Raw genomic sequence first — 23,601 nt, 5'->3', positions numbered from 1 at the left:
CAATCAAACCATAGCACATTGTATAGATGTTTTTTAAAAATAAGAAACACTGATTTGGAATACTAATCTAAACATGACGCATCTCTGCTTAAAAACCTGCGATTGATGTGGGAGAAACAACTCCTCTATGTTGCTTTCACTAACAAAGTGCCTGGCCTGACATACAAGGGGCAAGGTGCATGAGCTATCCACATCCATCAAGCTGCCCTCTGCTCTCTGACCTGGGTTCTCCAGCAGTGCTGACCACACGTGCTCATTTCCATGCCTCCCCTATTTCACATGACTCCATTCATTTATTATATCGTCTCCAATAATTTCTCTTTTGTCCTTAGGCAGCACCACTCCGCAGCTGCTTCTAACTCAGCTCCCAAAACACAGCCCTGGGCTCTGGGAAGGGAGAGGAGAAGATGACTAGAGAGAGAGACAAATACACTTAGAGGTAGGGACTAAGTGTGCATCCTGTTTTTTTTTTTTTAATGTTTACATCTAAAACAATAAGAAGAAATAGTCCCATCTCTGGCATTGCTTCCATCTCCAAAACTGCTGAATATCTGTTCTTATATCAGAAATGATTTTCCAGGCTTTAGCAATCTAGCATCTTGAAATATGAGGATGGTTAATGGGAAAAAATCACTAATCAACTTCTATATGTGACCAGACCAGTAATTTTTACCTGTAAAGTCTAGGTTCATAGTCTCAGGGCATCCACTGATTTCAACGGGGATTCCTGGTTCCCTCAAGATAGAATATGTGGCAAAGGAGAGCCTTTAGAAGAGGTAATTGTGAAATAGCCTCTCACATATTAATGTCCCATTCAAATATTATGTTTATTTGAGTGTGCCTTACATAGACATCATATGTAGCTTTTTCATCTTATTAAAAAGGGCAGGGACATTTTATGAGAATGAATACCCTTCTTTTAAATGACACTCTTGTTTAAACTCTCCGCCTCAATATTCATACACATACCCACTCACACCGTTATAGAAAGGAGTTGTAACACAGAGGATATGTGCAGTAGTGTGCTGGAATCAGCAACTAATGGCTTATTTTAAATTTTCAGAAATTTTGTAAGCTGGTTATTGAACTTAGCATTAACTTACATTCAAACAAAGGTAATAAATAGTCAAATCTTATTACTTCCTAACTACCTTACCTGTCCTCTTGAGGCTGTTTCTATCTGTTGTATCTGTATGGTAGAAATACTACACCAGACTACTGTATAACTCTTCCCAACTGTGCATTTAATGACATCATGGTGGTAGTTTGAAATTGCCATGGTGAGATTGTTTTTACCATGAAAATTGGCAAACATTACAACCTTGAGCTAGCTTTTTTTCTCCAAAGAGCCAGTTAAACATTTACCGTCAACCATACCCACAGCACACACAGCTTCTTTACAAAGACTGACTTTATGTTTTCATATTGGGATACAAATGATTGATTCACAAGGTAGAAAGTCCAGACAGGTAAATGGGATCAGAGCCTCATCATTCATCCCCCTGCAAGGCATCGGTTGCTTTTTAATCTACCTCATGATTTTTCCCTGAGGAATGCAAATCAAACCTCTTCCCATCACATATACATTTTAAGATCTGACATGCATTCCTTTTCTTGCATTTCCATGTCTGCCTCCCTAATGCAACGTCACATCACCTCAAATCTTCATTGCTACCAATATGGCAGTATGATTCCTCTACCTTCTCCCAATCAGTCCTATGATGTTCATTCCTACAAACTTTGTTTTCCTTTTTAAATTCATCCCCTCAAGCATTTATCCTCTGAGTCACAAATAATCCAATTACCTTCTTTAGGTTATTTTAAAACATACAGTTAAGTTATTATTGACTATAGTCACCCTGTTATACTATCAAATAGTAGGTCTTATTTATTCTTTCTGTGTTTTGTACCCATTAACCATCCCTGCCTCCCCCAAGCCCCCCACTGTCCTTCACAGCCTCTGGTAACTGTCCTTCTATTCTCTATGTTCATGAGTTCACTTGTTTTGATTTTTAGATCTCACAAATAAGTGAGAACATGCAATGTTTGTCTTTCTGTGCCTGGCTTATTTCATTTAACATAATAATCTCCAGTTCCATCTACCGTATTCCAAATGACTGGATCTTATGGCTGAATAGTGATCTGTTGTGTATACGTACCACATTTTCTTTATTCATCTGTTGATGGATACTTAGGTTGCTTCCAAATCTTAGATATTGTCAACAGCGCTGCAACAAACATAGGAGTGAGTGCAGATATCTCTTTGATATACTGATTTCCTTTCTTTTGGAGATGTACCCAACAGTGGGATTGCTGGATCATGTGGTAGCTGAATTTTTAGCTTTTTGAAGAACCTCCAAACTGTCCTCTACAGTGGTTGTAATAATTTACATTACCGCTAACAGTGTACGAGGCTTCCATTTTCTCCACATTCTTTATTATTTATTTTTATTTTTTATTTCCGTAGGTTTTGGGGGAACAGGTGGTATTTGGTACATGATTAAGTCCTTTAGGGATAATTTCTGAGATTTTAGTGCACCCATTACTAGAGCAGTATACACTGCACACAATTTGTAGTCTTATCCCTCACCTCGCTCCCATCCATCCCCCCTCCCCAAGTCCTCAAAGTCCGTTGTATCATTCTTATGCCTTTGAATCCTCATTGCTTAGCTCCCACTTATGAGTGAGAACATACGCTGCTTGGTTTTCCATTCCTGAGTTACTTCACTGAGAATAATGGTCTCCAATTCCATCCGGGTTGCTGCAAATGCCATTATCTGGTTCCTTTTATATCATACTACTCAGCCATAAAAAGTATATATACATATATATAATGGAATACTACACAGCCATAAAAAGTAGCTTTATTAATCAATGAGTGGATAAAAAAATTGTGGTATATATATATATATATCCACTCATTGATTGATGGGCATTTCGGCTGTTCCATATTTTTGCAATTGCAAGTTGTGCTGCTATAAACATGCGTGTGCAAGTGTCTTGTTCATATAATGACTTCTTTTCCTCTGTGTGGATAGATACTGAGTAGTGGGATTGCTGGATCAAATGGTAGTTCCCTTCTTTTTCTCCACATTCTTGCCAGCATTTGTTATTGCCTGTTTTTTTGTAATGTAAACCATGTTAACTGGACTGAGATGATATCTTATTGTAGTTTTGATTTGCATTTCTCTGATGATCAGTGATTAAATGTTTTCTTAAACTCAACTTCCATCATGTTGTTCCCCTGCTCCAGAACCTACAAGTCTTCCCTATTACCATACAAAGGGACCTTCAAAGGGTGGATGATAGTACAGTACCTGTATAAGTCAGTGTTCTCCAGAGAAACAGAACAAATAATGTGTGAGTATGTGTGTGTGTGTGTGTATTAGAGAGAGAGAGAGAGAGAGCGATGCTATACATATATCTGAATTAAACTTAGCTTTCCTGTCCATAGTTCCTTTTGGTATCAGCCTACTTAATCTTACCTGTTGAAACCAACTCAATTTGACTTCCAGTTTAATGCTCAGCCTTCTTTGTTTTTCCATGAATTCCATCCACCTTTTGGAGGCTATGGAGCATCTTGACATAAAGGGGAATGTGTTGTCTGGTCGCTGACTGTCCTCTGCCCATGCTGCTTCGACTGAAATGGTTGTTTGCTCCCTTGGTCTGTAATTGCCTGATGCATTTTTCCTGCTGTGCATACAAAAGCAATTCATTGAGACCATGGTATTACAGTAAATCAAGAGTTTAATTAATGCAAGGCCAGCCATGTGGAAGAACTAGAGTTATTACTCAAATCAGTCTCCCCAAAGACTTGGAGGTTAGGGGTTTTTAAAGGAAAGTGTGGGCCAGGTGTGCTGGCTCACACTTGTAATCCCAGCACTTTGGGAGGCCAAGGCAGAGGACTGCTTGAACCCAGGAGTTGGAGACCAGCCAAGGCAACATAGTAAGACCCTGTCTCTATAAAACATTTTTAAATTAGCCAGGTGTGATGGTGTACACCTGAAGTCCCAGTTTCTCAGGAGACTGAGGCAGGAGGATTGTTGGATCTCAGAAGTTTGAGGCTGCAGTGAGCCGTGATGGTGCCACTGCCCTCCAGCTTGGGCAACAGAGCAAGACCCTGTCTCAGAAAAAAAAAAAAAAAAAAAAAAAAAGCATAGTTTGGTGGGCAGGGGGCTAGGGAGTAGTGAATGTTGATTGGTTGGAGATGAAATCATAGGGGTGTGGAAAACAGTCCTTGTGCACTGAGTCAGCCTCTGGGTGAGGGCCACAGGACCAGTTGAGTCACAGTTGTGGGTTGAGGTGAAGTCCAAGTCAGTTGATTGTCAGAAGTGTAAAAGTCTGAAAAAAACCTTTTAAAAGGCCAATCTTAGGTTTTATAATGGTGATGTTATTTACAGGAGTAATTGGGGAAGTTATAAATCTTGTGACCTCCACAATAGTGAGTGGCTGGTTAGTGTTTAATTATGCCTATATCTTAGCATAATTTAGGCACATCTCAAAATCCTAAACTTGTGCCCTTTTATTAGTTTCACAAAGGTGGTTTAGTTTGGGAAAAGCTATTATTATTCTTGCTTTAAGGTTAAAAAAGACAATAAATTCATCTCAAAGTTAGCTTGGCCTATGCCCAGGAATGACTAAGGTACAGCTTGAAGGTTAGAAGCAAGATGGAGCCAACTATGTCAGATTTTTATTCAATGTCTTTTTCAGGGGACATAGTTTCACCCATAACAATGGCCACGAAAGGACATAAGCAGAAGATACTAACACAGAACAACAAAGACCTAAAGGTGCCTTTGCAAAAATCATGACCTGTGAATGTGACCTTATTTGGAAATAGTCTTTACAGATGTATTTAGTTAAGAGCAGGTAATTAGGGTGGACCCTAATCCAGCATGACTGGGGTCCTTAGAAGAGGAAAATTTGGAAAAAGACACAGGGAGAGCATCATGTGATGACAGAGGCAGATCATGGAGTGATGTGGCTGCAAGCCAAGGAACTCCAAAGATCAAGTGCCACCAACAGAAGCTAGGAAGAGGCAAGGAAGGATTCTCCCCTGCGAGTTTTGGAGGAAGTATGGCCCAGAAAATACCTTAATTTCAGACTTCTATCCTCCAGAGCTGTGAGACAATACATTCCTGTTGTTTTAAGCCACTCTGTTTTTGGTACTTTATTATTACAGCCCCAGGAAATGAATAAAACCTCCTGCGGGCTTCTTCCAAATTTTGTCCTAGGTTTATATTCATTGAAATCTTTGCCATTCTGAAAGTCAAAAATTACTTTTAATATTTAGCTCAACTTCTCTTTTTGCCTTGCAATACTGAACATATTGTCTCATGGTATTCGCCGTTTGAACCTCTCATGTGGACTGCGTGTCCACCCACATCTGCCATCTTATACAGGGGGCCCACTTATTTAATGTAAATTCACTAGAACTCTGTGTATATTAAAGAGATTATGAATCGTATTTAAAAGATGGGACATGTGGAGGAATAGTTGTCTAAGTTGTAGAAAACCACATCAGCTAAAATGTCTTGGTGGGAGTTAGTGTGATCATAGCAGAGAGGGAGATGGGAACTAGATTTTCAGAAGCAGAGAGCTGGAAACTCACGATGGAAAAAGCTGGAGGGGTAGGTTAGGTTCAGGTTAGAGAGCCACTGAATGCTAGGTTTGGAGGCTTGTTTTGGGATAAGAAAATAGATACATAAGATCAAGCAATTTGCCCAAAGCCATCTGGGGAGCTTTGGAAAGCCCTGAAAAGCAGAGAAACTTAATTTTGCCGGAGTAGTTATTGAGTTCTCAATTAATTTAAATGGTGAGGAACTGCTCACCTAAAGCCTTGAAATGCCGATGAATGCTTATAAGAAAATCCTGCCAATATCCTGCTTCTAACATATCAACCTTGGTGGGCTCCAGCCAGCCCTACACTTGATTCCCATAAGATACCCCAAAAGATAAATGAGTATGTTAATTAATTCCATTCATAGCCTTCCCCACTAATCAGAAACACAGGCATCTCTTAATTCCCTAAAGCTGGAGGGATCTTCATCATGATATATCAGTTTTCCCCGTGACCTCAAGAATAGGAATGTGGCCAAAGATTTCATTCTATGATGAACAAATTTGGGGAAGGGGACTGTGATGGTTAATTTTACAGTCAACTTGGTTAGGCCTATTTTTGGTCAAACACCAGCCTAGATGTTGCTGTGAAAGTATATTTTAGACGTGATTGACATTTAAGCCCCTAGACTTTGAGCAAAGTAGATGACCCTTCATAATGTGGGTGAGCCCCTTCCAATCACTTGACAGCCTTAAAAGAATAGACTCAGGCTCCTCCTCCTGACCCATGAGGAAAAAGGAATTCTGCTTCCGGATGAGACTGCAACATCAACCCTTCCCTGGGTTTCCTGCCTGTGGGCCTGCCCTGTAGATTTTAAACCTGCCAGCTCCCATAATTGCATGAACCAGTTCCTTTAAAAATACGTATATAGTTTATTTTCTTTCAGACAGAGTCTTGCTCTGTCGCCCAGGCTGGAGTACAGTGGCGTGATCTCAGCTCACTGCAACCTCCACTCCCCAGGGTTCAAGCGATTCTCCTGCCTCAGCCTTGAGTAGCTGGGACTACAGGTGCCCGCCACCATGCCCAGCTAATTTTTGTGTTTTTAGTAGAGATGGGGTTTCACCATGTTGGCTAGGCTGGTCTTGAACTCCTGACCTAAAGTGATCTGCCTGCCTTGGCCCCCCAAAGTGCTGGGGTTACAAGCATGAGCCACCGTGCTTGGCCACATGTATGTGGTTTTAAACTGATTCATATTTTCAACCTGTTTTGATTATAAAAATCCATAGCTATTTAACAACAGCCAAATGAATATGTAGCATTCTAAAAATAGGCAGGTTAGTGACCAATACAATCATGGTAGGTAATAGACTGAACCTTATGAAATTGCCAATATTTGACCATTTAGTCTATAAAAATGGCAATTTGCTATGGATTAACCAATATGCATGGAACAAGGACTTGCTAACAACATTAATAGAATTGGAGACATTGATTTTGCTATGTATCTTGGGAAAAGTGCATGTGAAAAACTCCAAAGCTACACTGCATTCTCTTCAAGTTTTTTCCTCTCTCAACATAGCCAGTTAGAGGGTAGCAAGATTTGAGATTTGAATTTGGAGGAAAATAGAAAGACCACTCAGGTAGGTTTAGGCCTAAGCCATGTGTCTAACTCAGGTTCTCCTGGAGAATCCTGGTTGGAGATTACGGGCAAGTGGTAACTATTCTTGTCCCAGCCACATGACTGATGTCAAGGTTCCCTTCAATGGACCCATGTTGCTTTCAAGACAAATTCACAGCTGTAACGCGTGGCAGATAAAACCAACCTTCACTCCAGCCTCATGCCCCACCAGTCCCAACCCTACTGTGGTAGAGATGGTTGTTGGCCAACTCAGATTAGTGCTCCTCTTCCAGAGCATAGAGTTAGTTGTTCTGGGAAATGGCTCCCAGCCAGGGGCCACATTTCTCAGCACATCTAGATGGGGGCATGTAACTAGCTCTGGCCAGTGAGAAGTCAATGGGACTCATGTGTGACACTTCAGCACAGAGGGGTCTAATACCATACTATGTTCCCTCAGTCTGCTGGCTAAATATCACCAGAGTGACCTTGAAGCCACAAGACTAAATCAAACTGTCTCAAACAGTCACCATTAGAAGGAAAGCCACCCTAAAGAGTCTCTAGAGCAAAGAGTTCTACATTGGACCTGGCACAACTGAGACTAAACTTTTACTTTGTTAAGCCCCCGAGATTTGGGGTTATTTGTGATAGCAGCATAACCCATCCCACCTCAATACCTTTGCCCTTCAACATTCTGAATCGTCGTCTGCTCTCTCAACTTATCAAATTGTTTCACTTGGCTGGGCCTTGCAAACTGTATTCTCTCTACCTAGAATACCTTTTCCCTTGTCTATCTGACAAATTACCAACACTCAGATTAAGTGACACCTATTCAGAGTCATTCCCTGATTTCTGTAGGGTGTTGGTTTCTTCCTCCTTCTTACCCTTGCTGTGCCTTGTACCATAGCCTCCTGCCAAACCATGATGAAACAGTTATGTTCTCAAAAGATTGTGAGTTCTTTAAGTAAATGCAGGTACTGGGTCCTATTCTTTATATTCAGTTCACCTAAAATAGTGCCTGGTGCATGTGAGTTCTCCATACATGGATTTTGGATCAGCCTAAGTAAATTGGGTGTGTGGGGTTCTTTGGTTTTCCCCTGACCTGGCTGGTTGCAGTGTAGATCTGGCCTGAACTGATCAGACGGCCTGAGTTGCTGCAGGTGTATCTTGTTGGAGCTCCCCTTCTCTTTAATCAAAGAAATGCCCAGAGTAGGGGCCGGGTGTAGTGGCTCATGCCTGTAATCCCAGCACTTTGGGAGGCTGAGGCAGGTGGATCACCTGAGGTCAGGAGTTCGTAGACCAGCCTAGCCAACATGGCAAAATCCCATCTCTACTAAAAATACAAAAATGAGCTAGGCGTGGTGGCATGCGCCTGTAATCCCAGTTACTTGGGAGGCTGAGGCAGGAGAATCGCTTGAACCCAGGAAGCAGAGGTTGCAGTGAGCTGAGATTACACCACTGCATTCTAGCCTGGGCAACAGAGTGAGACTTTGTCTCAAAAAAGGAAAAAAGAAAAAAAGAAAAAAAAAGAAATGCCCACAGTAAAGAAGTGGGCCCTTGGAATGTGTCTTTTGCTATTTGCTGAAGGTTACAGGAAAATAAGGCTCTCTCATTTACAGAATGTGTCTTTTTAATGGCTGCAGATCATATTTAATACGTGCTTTGCTTGCAAGACAATGGAAATTTGGATCTCTCCTAGCGTTCTGCCCAGATACTTTCTAGAATTCCTTTGATTCTTTGTAAAATTTTGATTCTCTTTTTTTTGGAAGGGACAATAAGGGAATTTAAAAAATCAAGTTAAAGTGGAATGAAAAGTGCCTTTCACAGGAATGTTTTATTGTCTCTGCCTGGACTTCTAACATAGCATATGAGGTGAAAACACTGCTTTAGTAAAAATGGAATACTCTTGGTTACATGAAATCCCATCCCTCGTCCTTCAGGTCCACTGGAGGAGAAGTCCCTCATTCCTTGGGATTGGTGACGACAGCCGTGGTGGAATAGGAGTAGGGGCTCAGCAGGGCGGCAATGGTGTAGCGGCGGGGGCCGGAGTCGTTGGCTGTGAATACCACCTATGAGAGAAGACAGACAGATCCATTTCCACCAGAGCCCGAAAAACGTGACAGATGACACACATGACTGACCACCGGAAGTCCAGTGCCAACTTAATTAATTTTATTCTTTTATATTTTGGAACAGTTTGAACAGAAGGAAAAAGCTCAAATATGCTGGCAAGCTAAGCCTTTGGAACCATGCACAGTCCTTAGAGCAGGAGTACAGAGTCAGGTCTTGTTTTGCAAATTCACGCCGAAAGTCAGGATGACCCTAGCTTGACTAAGGGAAATCCCAGAAAGCCTAAAGGCTGTATCTATTTTATTGGTTTTAGAAAAAAAAGGTAGGGAGAATGCAAAACTGCATTGAGTCATTGAAGAGCTGCTGCAATAGTGGCTGCCAACCACAGACTTAGAGATTTAGCATTCTGGAGCTGGAAACATTCTTCCCAATTTACAGATGAGCAAACCAGACTTGAATTATTGTATTGTCCCAGTCTACATTCTGATGGAACCATAGTAGGAAGGCAAGTCTCCTGTCTCCAAGCCCAGAGATTCCCCCACCCTCCTATTCTTTGCATTTTCTAACATGAAGAAGAAAAGTATATTTTTATGTATAACAAGCAATGAAATACGAAGTAAAAGCATTACAGGGCTCTATTTACAATACAGAGTGTGGAAGATCATGGTGGAATTTTGAAATATATATGCATGCACTAGAGCTCATTTAAGCTTTGTAACTGGGCAAATTGTGGATCAAAATGCTGTTCCAGATAGTCACACAGTTCTGTCAAATCAGTAGAATATCTGCGACTCAGGTGCTGGGACAGCCTTGGTTCTCAGAGTGAGGCAAGTTGGGATATATTGAGGTCAGGAAAGAGGTAGAAGACAGTAAAGATGTGTTTAATTTGATTTATTTTGTATACAGGCCTTGGGTTGAGGTTTGGACACACTCTGCATAAATACATTTTGTTCTAAATATGGGAAAAAGAAACCCGGATTACTTAGGGATAGGAGGAAAAAAGGATCTGAGTGAGCCATACCAAAAACAAAAATAATACTGGGGCAAGAGGAAGTGAGAATCACCTAAGAATCTCTTAGGAAGAAAGGGCTCCCCTTAAGGCCAATTCCCTAGAATCAACTAATAAAAATGTCTTTTGTCTTATGGTGACATTGACCTTCAGCCCACTTGATTCTTCTTAAAAATTGTAAGAGGCATAATCTGTAATCAAAAATCCATGAAGTAGCCGGGCACGGTGGCTCACACCTGTAATCCCAGCACTTTGGGAGGCTGAGACAGGTGAATCACCTGAGGTCTGGAGTTCAGACCAGCCTGGCCAACGTGGTGAAAACCTGTCTTTACAAAAAATACAAAAATTAGCCTGGTGTGGTGGCGCACACCTGTAGTCCCAGCTACTCGGGAGGCTGAGGCAGGAGAATTGCTTGAACCTGGGAGGCGGAGGTTGCAGTGAGCTGAGATTGCACCACTGCATTCCAGCCTGGGTGACAGGGCAAAACTCCATCTCAAAAAAAAAGGAAAAAAAAATCCATGAAGTGAAGAGGCCTAAGAGCTCCTAATAAAAGTTTCCATTTTCCCTTGGTAAATCTACTATGACCACCTGGGTCACTGGCCAAGGTAGAGTTGACCAGTTCTGAAGGAGGCATTTATCAGAAGAAGCTGCATGAAGCCCACCACGCACCCGTCACCAAAGTGAGGCATTGGGACTCATCTCTCACTACTCGCTCTCTCTTGTTCTCCGTATTTATCTGGGCTTCAAGCTGGGCTGACGGTCCTGCTTAATCTGTCTTACTTCAGTCCTTTCCCTTCCATTCCAAGGGTCGGGATGTATTTTCATTTCTAAATCCACAGCATCTAGCAGAGTGTTCCACACATAGAATGCTTTTTTTTTTTTTTAATGTTTGTTGAATGAATACTGCAAGAATGAAGAGCAGACAAGGAAGCTAAGATCTAATGAAAGAGAACAACATGTGGGCAGTATGTCAGTGAACCTTTTTATATGGTTCCCATCAGGCTGAGACCCAGCTCTTGGGCAAACAACAGTCTCAGGTAGGCAGATCTATTACTCGAGGGTAGGGGCTGAGACTCTAGGGGCAATGTCTTGTGCTGGGCGCCGCCGAAACCCTGCTCCTGCCCTGACTGGGGTCCATGTCTTGCTGCTGGCTGAGGGGTAGTCAGGGACATGCTCCTTGGTAGATGGGGCTCTCTTGTTGACTTGTGGGCCCCAGAAGTCAAACAAACCCCTGTTGTTTCCCTGGTAACATTGTCTAATAAAGGAACCACTTTATAGCAATTGAAAGTCTCATCCATGACTAAGCCAGAGAATAGTTCCCTTTCATGCCGAGCTATTTTTGATGGAATTAGTTGATCTTTAACTCTGACCAACATGTCTGGATTCTATTTCCATGACAGCCATCTGTTTCAAATGACTTAAGAAATTAAGGAGAAGGCAGGGGGACTGGGTCCATGTATAACTGTTTGAAGATCCTCACCATAGGCAGGGGAACAGAGCACGTTACAAATGTGGCTTTTCTTTTTTTAAGCTTGGCTTTCACAAGGGAAAAAGTTTCCTGGGGCATAATGCGAGGCATAGCAGAACTGAGGGCAAACCCAGCCTGGGCCTTAATTGTAAACATTTCTACTTGTGTATTTCCTAGTCTTGTGACCTTTGACAAGTTATTTGACTTCCTGGTGCCTCATTTTCTTCATCTATAAGATGGGGATAATAATAGGACTGACCTCAGTGGCTTATTCCTGAGGATTAAGTAGGTTAAATATGGAAAACACTTATAATTGTGTCTGCCACATGGTGTATGCTTGGTAAATGTTATCTATTGTGTTGCCATTATTACTTTGATTTTATTGTCTCTATAGGTATGTGTTGCCAAGAATCACTTGTCCAGACCTCCGAGAAGCCAGATGTGTTTTGGAATGAAGAATGTTACGGGTTTTCGAGAAATAAAATGGTGCATCTCTTGTTACATACACTCTACGTGGGGTCTGGAGGGCTGCCTCATAAACTATTATTTCAACAGCAGATACATCAATATTCATATAAAGTGGAATGAATAGACTATGAGTAGTTTCATGTAAGTTCAAGTCATGTTACTAAGTGGATTTTCATCAAAGTCAAAAAGAAATTTGCTTCTCAGAGTGTTGTGAATTTTTTCTTGTATAATAGGAAAGGGAACCTTTGGTCATTCATCACCTTCCTTAGGACATTTCTGTGGTACACTGAGTAAAACTGTGCATTTCCTGGAATGCCAAAAGCAAAAACCAAAACCAAAACAACCCTCGAAGGTCTGTATACTCACCTCTGCATGCTCATGGAATGGGGAGATGCCAAGTGCCTTCCAGTAAGATTTGGTGTCTATTTCCACTTTGTATATCCCTTCTACAAATTCCTCCTCAGTTGTGAGCCCATGCAGCTCTCCAGACTCACTGGTTTTCCTATAAGGTGTGAAAGTCTGGATTAAGTTACGCATGGAGGAAACAAATGGCATGGCAAAGTAATACACCCCCACCAACTAACACACATAAACATGTTATAAACATGTTATGAACATTTCCCCTCAACTAAGTCAGAAGTAGGGAAAACTCCTAACTGAAATTAAATGGCAAAAAGTTTGTAAAAACTTTTTGAAAAGCTCACTGTAGATTTTTTTCTCTGATAAGAAGAGAATGTAGGTATAATTTTTTTTTTTTGAGACAGAGTTTTACTCTTGTCACCCAGGCTGGAGTGCAATGGCACGATCTCAGCTCACTGCAACCTCTGCCTCCTAGATTCAAGGGATTCTCCAGCCTCAGCCTCCCAATTAGCTGGGATTACAGGCGCCTGCCACCATGCCTGGCTAATTTTTGTATTTTTCATAAAGACGGAGTTTTGCCATGTTGGCCAGGCTGGTCTTGAACTCCTGACCTCAGATGATATGCCCACTTTGGCATCCCAAAGTGCTGGGATTACAGGCGTGAGCCACCGTGCCCGGCCAGGTATAATGTTTACTTAAGAAAGAGTCCCTGTGATTCAAGATTGATGATTGGATGCAAGTGGCCACAGCTGTTCTAACTCTGCACTTCTCCAGGACAGCAGGATCTCGCTCCTCTCCCTTGTGGTGTGAGGATAGCTTTGAGGCATCTGCACACCACCAGGGAGTATCATTTGCACACACAGTGGAAAACCTAAAGTAGGAAGAAGAACCTGTATCTGACTCTTTTCCCTTTTATATATTTAACCTCTCTGATAACTCTTTGCCAGCAACAAACACTAGGCAACTTCTATTTCCATGTAAGTACCAGCTCCATAGTTGAATGTTGGAAATTGCTTCCCATTTGACTGCAACAGCTACGATAGATAAAAATAGCAGTTGTCTTTACTGACTCTGATTATGCCCCTCCTCCTTTCTTCTTTTCACTTCTTTTTTTTTTTGTCCTGGTGCAAGGAAAAGATTCACAAGAACATTGGAATATTTTTGGTGTCCATTCTGTCTCTCCCTTAGAATAGTCCTGTAACCACTTTTCATGTTATGCTTGGCATTTTATATAAACATAAATGAATTCCCAAATAAAAAGCCAGTTAAAACCAGACCTAAGAAAATGATCTTCCCAATAATGGTTGAAGAATCATGTGGTTCTTGGGGTTCAATTAAAACCCAACAGAAATTCTTCTCTGTGGAGATGTAAATACTTAGCAGTTCCTCTTCTGCTGGATGCAAAGGGTCTCCTGATTGCTCTGTCTTCTGGTCACTTTGCTTAGATTTATTAATATGTATTTTCCTTGAAGTTTTTGCTAGTGCAGGTAGAAAAACTCCATGAAAATTGTGAACTGGCTAATGAAGGTGAGAAGCCACTCTTGGACATGAAGTCGGGTGATCGTGGGATTAGCCTGGGGCTGTACTTTGCCTCATGGATCCATCTCTTCTATCTTTTTTTTTTTAACTGAGCTTGACAGCCCCCAGCCTTGCACACAGTAGGTGCCCCAAAGTGTTCATTAGGCAAAAGCCTTGGGTTTTGGGTGATCCATATTAACTACAGACAGATGCCTGGTTAATAATATTTCTGAATTCCTTTCCTTTTGTTAATGGGTTAATACACATTATACCTTTTCCTAAAATTCTAAGACAAGGACACTTAGCTTTGGTGTTACCCAGGGACACCAGGGAATCTGTGAAACTCCTAAAATCACATATATGATTTTGTATGTGTGTGTATCTGTGCATTTTTTCTGGGCATAGAATGTTTACTTTTCATCACCTACATAAAGTGTTCTGTGACCCAAAAGGGTTGCAAACCACAGCTAGAGGAGAGGAGTTCTGATTCCTTCTTTTCTCTACTGTCTGCCCCTAAATGATGCTCAGGTTCCTGGTCACTTCCTAGCTAAGCAAAACAAAAAGAGGGCATCCTTCAGAGGGCATACTTGACCTCTGCCTACGTTTTTCAATCTACTTGTAAATTCTTTAGCAGATGATGTGAGCCTCTCTCTACCAAGTGAGGGGCAAACGGGAAGATAAAACCAAGTCCTGTGGGAGGGTTCTTTGGCAACTTACCCAGAGGCAAATGGCTCCCAGGTGTCATCAGCAGCCTTTCTGAACACATGCACGGCCACATTGATGGCAGGACTGCCTCGGACAGCATCTAGAACTTTGACCATCAGAGGACACTTGGATTCACCGGTGCCCTGGGTGTAGAGAAGACACGTGAGAAGTTAACAAAATTGATCAGAGTGAAAGGATTTATTCTTTGTGGTATTAGAAATCTGGAGCGAAACAAGAATTACACACTGATCCCATTATCAGGAACGTAAGTGTCGACAATTAATGAGCTTCCCTACTCAGTATAACACAGACGTAATTGTTTCCAAAGCAAGAATGGTTTCTGCCTCCAGACACACTGCTATCAACCAGGGATGTGTATAATGAATTTTAAGGGAGAAAATAGGTCCCCTGAGAACAGTTGCTTTGTTAAAAGTCTCCATTTGAGTGGAATTACTGAAAAGATGTAATGTACCATACATAGGGCCAAACAGGTTTTCCTGAGATCATTTTAGTTGTTGCTATAGTCACTCCCTCTTACCAGTTGTTATAAAATAATGTCAGAACTACATCCAGACCCATTTTATAGTATTAGTTAATTCTTCTAGAGGATTTAAGAATTAGATATCTGACTAGAATATTGTTCACTAAGCCTTTTAAAGATTAATCAATAAATACGTTTTGAATAACTATAGGGCCAGAATATAATCTCCTGCAGTTTGTCCCCCAAATACATTTTATGGAGGGATACTTTTCTGAAAATTCAGTATTAACAGCTTCCTTAATATCATATCTTTATTTCTATCATCTATCTGAGGAAACAGAGGTACCAGATATTACAAACCTAATGCACCAAAGCAATGAGGTAGAATGCTCAGAGTTCAAGTCCCAGCTCAGTAAGCTCAGTGGAACTTCATTCTTTTTGAAGTTTGAATTAATTATATTAAAAATAGATGCTGGGTACCCTTGCCCTAGTAATAAAAGCTGGTTGGCAAAGCTGGAAGGAGTCACTTCTACTTCATTTAGCGTGAATCTTAAATGTAGGAATGGGATGTCACAGAAACACTCACCGTAGGGCCAGCCTCAGACACAAATACCAGTCCAGCAAGGCAGAGGAGGAGCAGACGATGAGAAGCCATCCTGCCAAGAATGAGTGGACTTCTGTGATGGCTGCTCCCAGCCTGGGGCTTTTATACTCACTTCTCCTGAGCTAGGCTGCTTATCCCTGCCAATCTGACTGCAAACCTGCTGATTCTGATTATTGACTTAGTCAACAAAGAGAGAATAAGTAACCCATACAAATATGAACCTTGTCTAGAGAGATTAGAGCATCGGAACATTCGTTCTATGAAATATTCTTAATAGGTCATTTGACCAGTTAGGTCACCAAAACAAAACAACCAAAACAAAACAAAACAATCAAAACAAAACAAAAATAGTCTTCTCCCTGTGTGACTGCGTGCACTAACATTCTTGGGGGTAATTTTTTCCTCCCTCACATATTTCTATGCATGTTTTCCATTTTTATAGATTTTTTGTCTCTCATTTTAGATGCAAGATTTTAGACAGATGCAAGTTGTAATAATGTATTTCATGTTGAATGACATCTAGCTGCACAGGCTTAAATATAGTGCATTAGAAAATGTTTGCACTTGATGGATCCATGGGTCAACAAGGAAAAACCCTTGGCAGTGCTCACATTTTTAAAAGCCTACATTTTAGCCAAACTAAGTCATTTGGAAGCTTTGCTTAGTCAGCAATTTCTCCACAATGTGTGTGTGCATGTGTGTATGTGTGTGTGTGTTCTGCCCAGATAAAGTCCACTTCAATCTAAGAATGGCATCTTCCCTCCCTCCCTTCCTTCCTTCCTTTTTTCCTTCCTTTTTTTTTTTTTTTTTGACAGGGTCTCACTCCAACGCCCTGGCTCGAGTGCAGTGGCACGATCACAGCTCGCTGCAGCCTTGACCTCCCGGGCTCAGGTCATCCTCCCACCTCAGCCTCTTGCCCAGGCTGGTCTCGAACTCCTGAGCTCAAGCAATCCACCCGCTTTGGCCTTCCAAAGTGCTGGGATTACACGTGTGAGCCACTGAGCTGGGCCAGAATGGCATATTTCAACCTGGCATTGATGCCCCTGAAATACAGAGAACCAAATCTTCTTTACTGACTCTTCTGCATTGGGCATGCAGGAACAAGGCTGACAGCTGGTTTTTGACAGAACCAAACTTGCTGGAAGAAAGTAGAGATGACTGTGAGAACCAGAAGCCATGATTGACAGCAGATTCTTTTCCTCCTGGCCGACTTATTAATACAAGTCCAGAAATTATGATGATTTGATGATTCATTACTCACATACAAAGTCTCTGTGTGTATGTGTGTGTGTGTGTGTGTGCGCGCGCACGCGCATGTGTGTGTGTGTCCACTAGCATGCGTGGCTTTGTTCATGGATAAACTAAGGCAGGTTTTTGTCCTTATAAGACAAACATGTAGAAAACATAGAGAAGACAAATATTTTGGACAAATACAAGCCAAGAGCAAGTCCGGTTTGGAGCACTAAGAATTGAGGGAACATTCCCATAACTGATAGAGTCAGATTAGAAAAAATTCAACAAGAAATTGTGAAGCACAGGAGCTTACAGGGAGTAGTGGAAGGGACAGAAAAGCCTTTCAGGAACATGAGAATGTGCAGGAGAGGACTCCGGGAGGTGGGTTGACCCCTCACAGCAATGAGCAAATGTAGTTGAGACCATAACTAGGAATGGAGTCTTAGACCCTTAGAGTTTAACTAGGAAGCAGCAGCAGAAAGACTTTTGCATTTGGAGTTGGATGACCAGAGTCATTCGATCCCAGTTCTGCTGCCCCGTTTCCCGGATGACCTTCTATGAGTTATCTACTATCTCAGATACTCGGCCAACTCGTTTGTAAAATAGAAATGCCTACTTTTCTACTTCAAAGGACTGTTCTAATAACTTTTAATATGAGAGGATGTACAAGCCTTTTGTAAGCTGTAAACCACTATCTTGCTGTAAAAGCATAACTAATAGAATTTGGTTCAACATCTATGCCTCAGGAGAGAATCCTTTCTCAAATAACATCTTTCATATATTGTCATCCAATATCCTCTTGATGATTTCCTATTGTTCAGAACCTGGATAGAGAGCCTTTTCTCTGGCTATGAATCATAAATATTTGGAAGTTCTTTCATAACCGAAGCAAAATCTACTGTGCACGCGTTTCAGCACTGCACCCTGTTGAAACTAAGAATCATCTCTTGTAGACCCTGTGAACTGGCAACGCTGGGCTGCCATCAGCCCATAGATATGTTATATTTGGGCTGCACAGAGTCTCTTTAAACATTTTGTAATAGTTGCCAAAATTAAAAATTGAGACATGCTGCATAAAAATTTGCATTTCTTGCTTCTCTTAAATCAAAAATATTGGCAGCTTTAGGCCAACATTTACACATGACAGTGATCATCAGAATGTCACTCTCAGACATCAAGACTCCCCAGGCCTCCCCGCCAACACTGAGGCTAGGTGATTCTCTAGTGGCATATCATGCGTGAGCTTTTATCTTTTCTTAAACATGGCCTGTTTCTTTCATCTGTGTTTCTGCCCAGCCTTTTGAAAAACTGAGTTTGTGATTGCTGGTCTTCCAACAGCCATGTAAGTAGTATTTTCTTTTTGCCAAATAGACATTCCCACTTCTGTGAATGAATCTTGTTTAGACATAGTTCCTAAGATCCTCAGCATCCCGAACTTCCTTTTCTGGCATATTCCCCTTGGTCAAAGTTCTCTTCAAATGTGATGCTCTGAACAAGACACAGTCCCTGAAGTAGATCAGGCCACAGGATGTCGAGACTGTTGCCTCCCTTGGCAAAGGCACTTTAGTGCAAATGTTGTACCCAGAATCCATCTGTAACTGTAGTAACTGTGACCCTCCCTTCGTCATAACACTACCCACTGTGATCTGTTGGCCACAATAATCTAAAATGACCTATATTATCTGTCATCCTGTGCTTTGATCATTTATGAATTTTAACCCAAATATGGGACCCTGTGTTTGTATCTGATATATCTCATCCTGTTAGTTTCAACCCACCACTTGATCCTTGATATGGTTAGGCTTTGTGTCCCCACCCAAATCTCATCTTGAATTGTAACACCCATAATCCCCATGTGTCAAGGGAGAGACCAGGTGGAGGTAATTGAATCACGAGGGGCGGTTCCCTCATGCTGTTCTTGTGATAGTGATTGAGTTCTCACAGGTTCTGGTAGTTTTACAAGGGGCTTTTCCCCCTTTGCTTGGCACTTCTTCCTGACGCCTTGTGAGGAAGGTGCTTTGCTTCCCCTTCACCTTCTACCATGATTGTAAGTTTCCTGAGGCCTGCCCAGTTGTGCTGAACTGTGAGTCAATTAAACCTCTTTCCTTTATAAATTACCCAGTCTCAGGCAGTTCTTTATAGCCGTATGAAAACGGACTAATACAATCCTATTGACATCATTTAATAGTTGTTCTGTAAATTCCTCTCTTAGAACAGTTTTCAGGCCATGCCCTTGGTCACTTTGACTTGCTTGCTTTCTGAACTATCATTGATCTGGAAATCATTAATGAAATCTGCATTTGAATAAGACAAGGAAGTGGGGAGAAAGTAAGGCAATTCAGGGTATAGAGAAGATCCTAAATTTCATTGGAAAATCACTGATGAAGCTTACAGAGATAAAGATTATTTTTTAATATAAAAAGACGAGAGGGTACAAAAAATAGAAAGAATAAGATCTACTATTTGATAGCACAACAGAGTGACTATAATTAATAATTGTATATTTTAAAATAAAGAGTGTAATTGGATTGTTTGTAACTGAAAAGATAAATGCTTGAGGAGATGGATACCCCATTCTCCATGATGTCCTTATTTCACATTGCATGCCTGTATTAAAACATTGCATGTACCCCATAAATATATACACCTACTATGTATCCACAAAAAATAAAATTAAAATTAAAAAGATATAAAGATAAGAGAAAATTTTGGTAGAGAATTAAAGATTAAATGTAGGTAGTCTGGAGTCAAAGTGAGAGCTCTGGGAGAAGAAGCTTGTAGTGTTTTAGGTGAGAGAAAACCAAGGCCGAAGCATGAAGGAAAAAGCAAAAAACGGAGATGGAATGTATTATTTGTTAAATGAATGCTTGTATGGAACCAATGGCAATGACAAATACAAGAAAAATCCAGTGTTTCTTGCCTAAGAAGCAATTTATGATAAGAGAGGGTTATAGGGCTAAACATATACTCTCAAAGATAAGAAGGTCTTCCTTTCCTGTGTTTATTTGAGTTTGCGAAAGCTCTTTTTGGAGGATGGTTACATAGGATCCATGAAGGGGAATGAATTAGGGTCAATGGTCACCACATTCCTGGAGGCCTAAGTGGTTGCTGCAGATACTGTGTGCTTGGGCACGATCAGTAGCTATGAAGATCCAATGCCTTAAAACAAAAGGAGCACCAGTGAAGCATTTCAGTTACAAGTCTATGTCTTTTCTTAGCTACGTACTGTTTTTCCTCTCAATCTGACTGTGGAGCTGTAGCATAGATGTTTAATTGAGGTGAAAAAGATGAATTTGATGACAACATTTCTCCTCCTTCTATGGAATATGCTGTGATTAATGAACAAGTTGCCTGGCTCTTAGTTTAGGGTTCTTCTGCCCTCTTCCTTATAATGGGCAGGTTTATCTATGAAAAATTTTGATATTATAGATAAACCCTTTCTTCTTGGTTTATTTTCTGAGGGTGCCTGTCAGCTGCTAGACAGTGATCTGTTGATACTGAAATGCCCACTAATATTAATATGTCTAAGCTGATTACCCCGAGTTGGGCATAGGCTGGCCGAGTGCTGAGACTGGGCCTCATGGTGGGGGTTAGGGGAGAGTGGAAATGACAGTATTTGGGGGCCCTGGATCTTTGCAGGTTGAATAATTCAACTTTGTCAGCTCCCCTTGAGGTGAATAAGCCTCGGGGGTTTGATTAATGGTAAGCAAATCATAAAAGATTCATGTTAAAACCATAATACCAATTTAATTAATAGTTAGATGGTTGCTAGGTAAGCGAAAAATTGGAGCAAAGGGCCCGGGCTAATTTTTTGAGAGTATTTCATCCGGACTGCAGGAGAGCCTAGGAAAGTTATCTGACTTCTCTGCAGCACATACCTTTCTTGTGTTTGGAATGCCCGTGTCTGCCTTATCTGGCATGCCTCTCCTCCGCCATTGTTGAATAAACACATAAAAAGCCTTTTCCCTTATCTTCCCTTCTTCCCTTGTCCATGTAAATAGCCATCCAAGTAAAGGCAAACATTATCTAGGATATATTAATTAGACCATATTTTATTTTTGTTAATTGTAGTTTGAGTTTCTTGGTTGAATTTTGGGGGCCAACCTGGTTGGGAACAACCATTGAGAACTCCCTTGTATAAGAATCTTCCACAACTCTTAGCCTGTGTGCTGCCATGCCCCATATTTGGGGACTGTATAACCAAGAGTGGCAACTTCAGTCTCACCCATGGCTTGAGAACACACCTGTCACTATCTGGGGGATTTTGTTGTATATCAGTAGCTCTGATGATTCAGGCAAGACACCCATGTCTTGGTCCAGGTTCGTATCTGTCTTAGTGATCACACACGTGTTAGAAGATTTTATCCATAAACAGTTATTAGACACAGTTAATAGTTTTGGCTTCTAGAATTACTCAAAGCTCATCCACCCCTACCTATGGGGTGGATATGCAGACAAAAGAGGAAGTTTAAATTTTTAAGGTATTTTTTAAAAGAATCTATTTGGCAGGTTTCCTTTGGGCTTCTTTTATCCACCCCCCGCCTTCCCCCCGGAGCTCTCATGCAGCTAGTGTAGCAAAACAAGCTCAAAGTTGGAGGCCACTTAGGTGGCCTCTCTGGCCATGATCTGCGAAGGAAGGAGGAAGTGGGGTGTGGCCTTCTGGATACCTGATATGATATATACCATTTCCTCTCCAAACACATCCTTGCGATATTTAATAACTTACCCCATTTACCAAGAGACTGCATTGGGGTATGTGTCAATCGCGCCAGCCAGAATTAAAGAGGATTTATTTGGTTGACTCTGTGTCTGTACTTACATATCCCTTAGATCAGCTGTACTGATTCTGTGGCCATAATCCATTGTGCGTGGTTCAGGATATAGATTTTGGCTACTTCTATTTTCTTTCAACCTTGGAACTGAGAGAGATATTTTAAATTCAGCAACTAATTTAAAAGAAGCAACTATTAAGCATCTTCCTAATGTGAGCCACTGTGCTAGCTAGCCATCACTATGGGAGCTATCAAGAGAGGCATGTGCCTTCAAATTGCTTATAATTTAATTATTAAGAATATGTACGTATGAAAAAATGCTCAACATCACTGGTCCTTAGAGAAATACAAATCAAAACTACACTGAGATATCATCTCACACCTGTCAGAATGGCTACTATTAAAAAGTCAAAAAACAACAGATGCTGGTGAGGTTGCAGAGAAAAAGGAACGCTTTTACACTGTTGGTGTGAGTGTAAATTAGTTCAACAATTGTGGAAGACAGTGTGGCAACTCCTCAAAGATCTAGAGGCAGAAATACCATTTGACCCAGCAATCCCATGACTGGGTATATACTCAAAGGAATATAAATCATTCTATTATAAAGACACATGCATGCGTATATTCATTGCAGCACTATTCACAATAGCAGAGACATGGAATCAACCCAAATGCCCATCAATGATAAATTGAATAAAGAAAATGTGGCATACACACACCATGGAATGCTATGCAGAAATAAAAAGGAATGAGATCATGCTCTTTGCGGGGACATGGATGGAGTTGGAAGACATTATCCTCAGCAAACGAACGCAGAAACAGAAGGCCAATTACCACATGTTGTCACTTATAAGTGGGAGCTGAATGATGAAAACACGTGGACACATGGGGGGAACAACACACACTGGGGCCTGCTGGAGGAGGGGCAAGTGGGGGAGGGAGAGCATCAGGAAGAATAGCTAATGGACGCTGGGCTTACTACTTAGGTGATGGGATGATCTGTGTAGCAAACCACCGTGGCACACTTTTACCTATGTAACAAACCTGCACATCCTGCACATGTACCCCTGAACTTAAAATAAAAGTTGAAGAAGTAGGAAAAAATATGCCCAGTCAACAGGAAACAGTTGATGAGGTGGATGGTAATTCACAGAGGGAGGAAGTGACTTTGGGATCTCGGAAGCTGTCTGTGAAGAGGTGAGATTGAAGCTTGATCATCAAGGAGAAATAGAATCTACAGAGGAAAAAGGAGCAGTGTGTGGAATTCCTCTCCCATACAAGTCGGAAAGCATTTGAGAGCTTCAAGTTGATGGGGATGGAAGAAGAAATTAATGGCATGAGTGCTGTGGCACTAGGAATGGAGGAAAATCCAGAACCTAGGAGTAGTAACCAAGCGTAGAATCTGACGAAGCATCAATGTTAATGAGCTAGGGTGAGAGGGTCGGACCAGGAGTGAGGCAGTGGGATAGTCATGGAGACAATGGAACAAGCAGGTCAGGAGGGGTAGGAGCAGTTCTAGAGCCTGGGATCTGATGGAGTCTGGGCCCTAGAGACATCTGAATGCTGTGCTTCTTCAGTTTTCCACATGCATAAAAATAATTTTTATATAGATAAAATTATATATATTATATATACACACATATTTATTTTGTGTGTGTGTGTGTGTGTGTGTGTGTGTGTGTGTGTGTGTATTAGCATTTTGGGATAAATGGAAGAGATTTCTCCATTTGGAGATAAT

General features: G+C 41.2%; 1 protein-coding gene and 1 long non-coding RNA gene across 2 annotated transcripts; one reads left to right on the top strand and one right to left on the bottom strand.

Moving 5' to 3' along the window:
- The first annotated feature begins 311 nt into the window (after positions 1-311).
- LOC124904277 (uncharacterized) lies at positions 312-12,234 on the top strand. The gene is made up of 2 exons (XR_007066326.1): positions 312-439; positions 12,117-12,234. It is a non-coding gene; the product is annotated as an uncharacterized LOC124904277 (long non-coding RNA).
- Positions 8,991-15,935, bottom strand: TTR (transthyretin). Its single transcript, NM_000371.4, has 4 exons — positions 15,841-15,935; positions 14,786-14,916; positions 12,557-12,692; positions 8,991-9,244 (listed from the first exon to the last, which is right to left on the bottom strand). Exons 1-4 carry the CDS (start codon positions 15,907-15,909, stop codon positions 9,137-9,139), a joined length of 444 nt encoding a protein of 147 aa, NP_000362.1. The 5' UTR covers positions 15,910-15,935; the 3' UTR covers positions 8,991-9,136.

This window comes from Homo sapiens, chromosome 18 (genome assembly GCF_000001405.40).
Source record: "Homo sapiens chromosome 18, GRCh38.p14 Primary Assembly".
Classification (NCBI taxonomy): Eukaryota; Metazoa; Chordata; class Mammalia; order Primates; family Hominidae; genus Homo; species Homo sapiens.
Note: the sequence above shows the minus strand (reverse complement) of the source record. Positions and strands in the feature narration are given on the sequence as shown.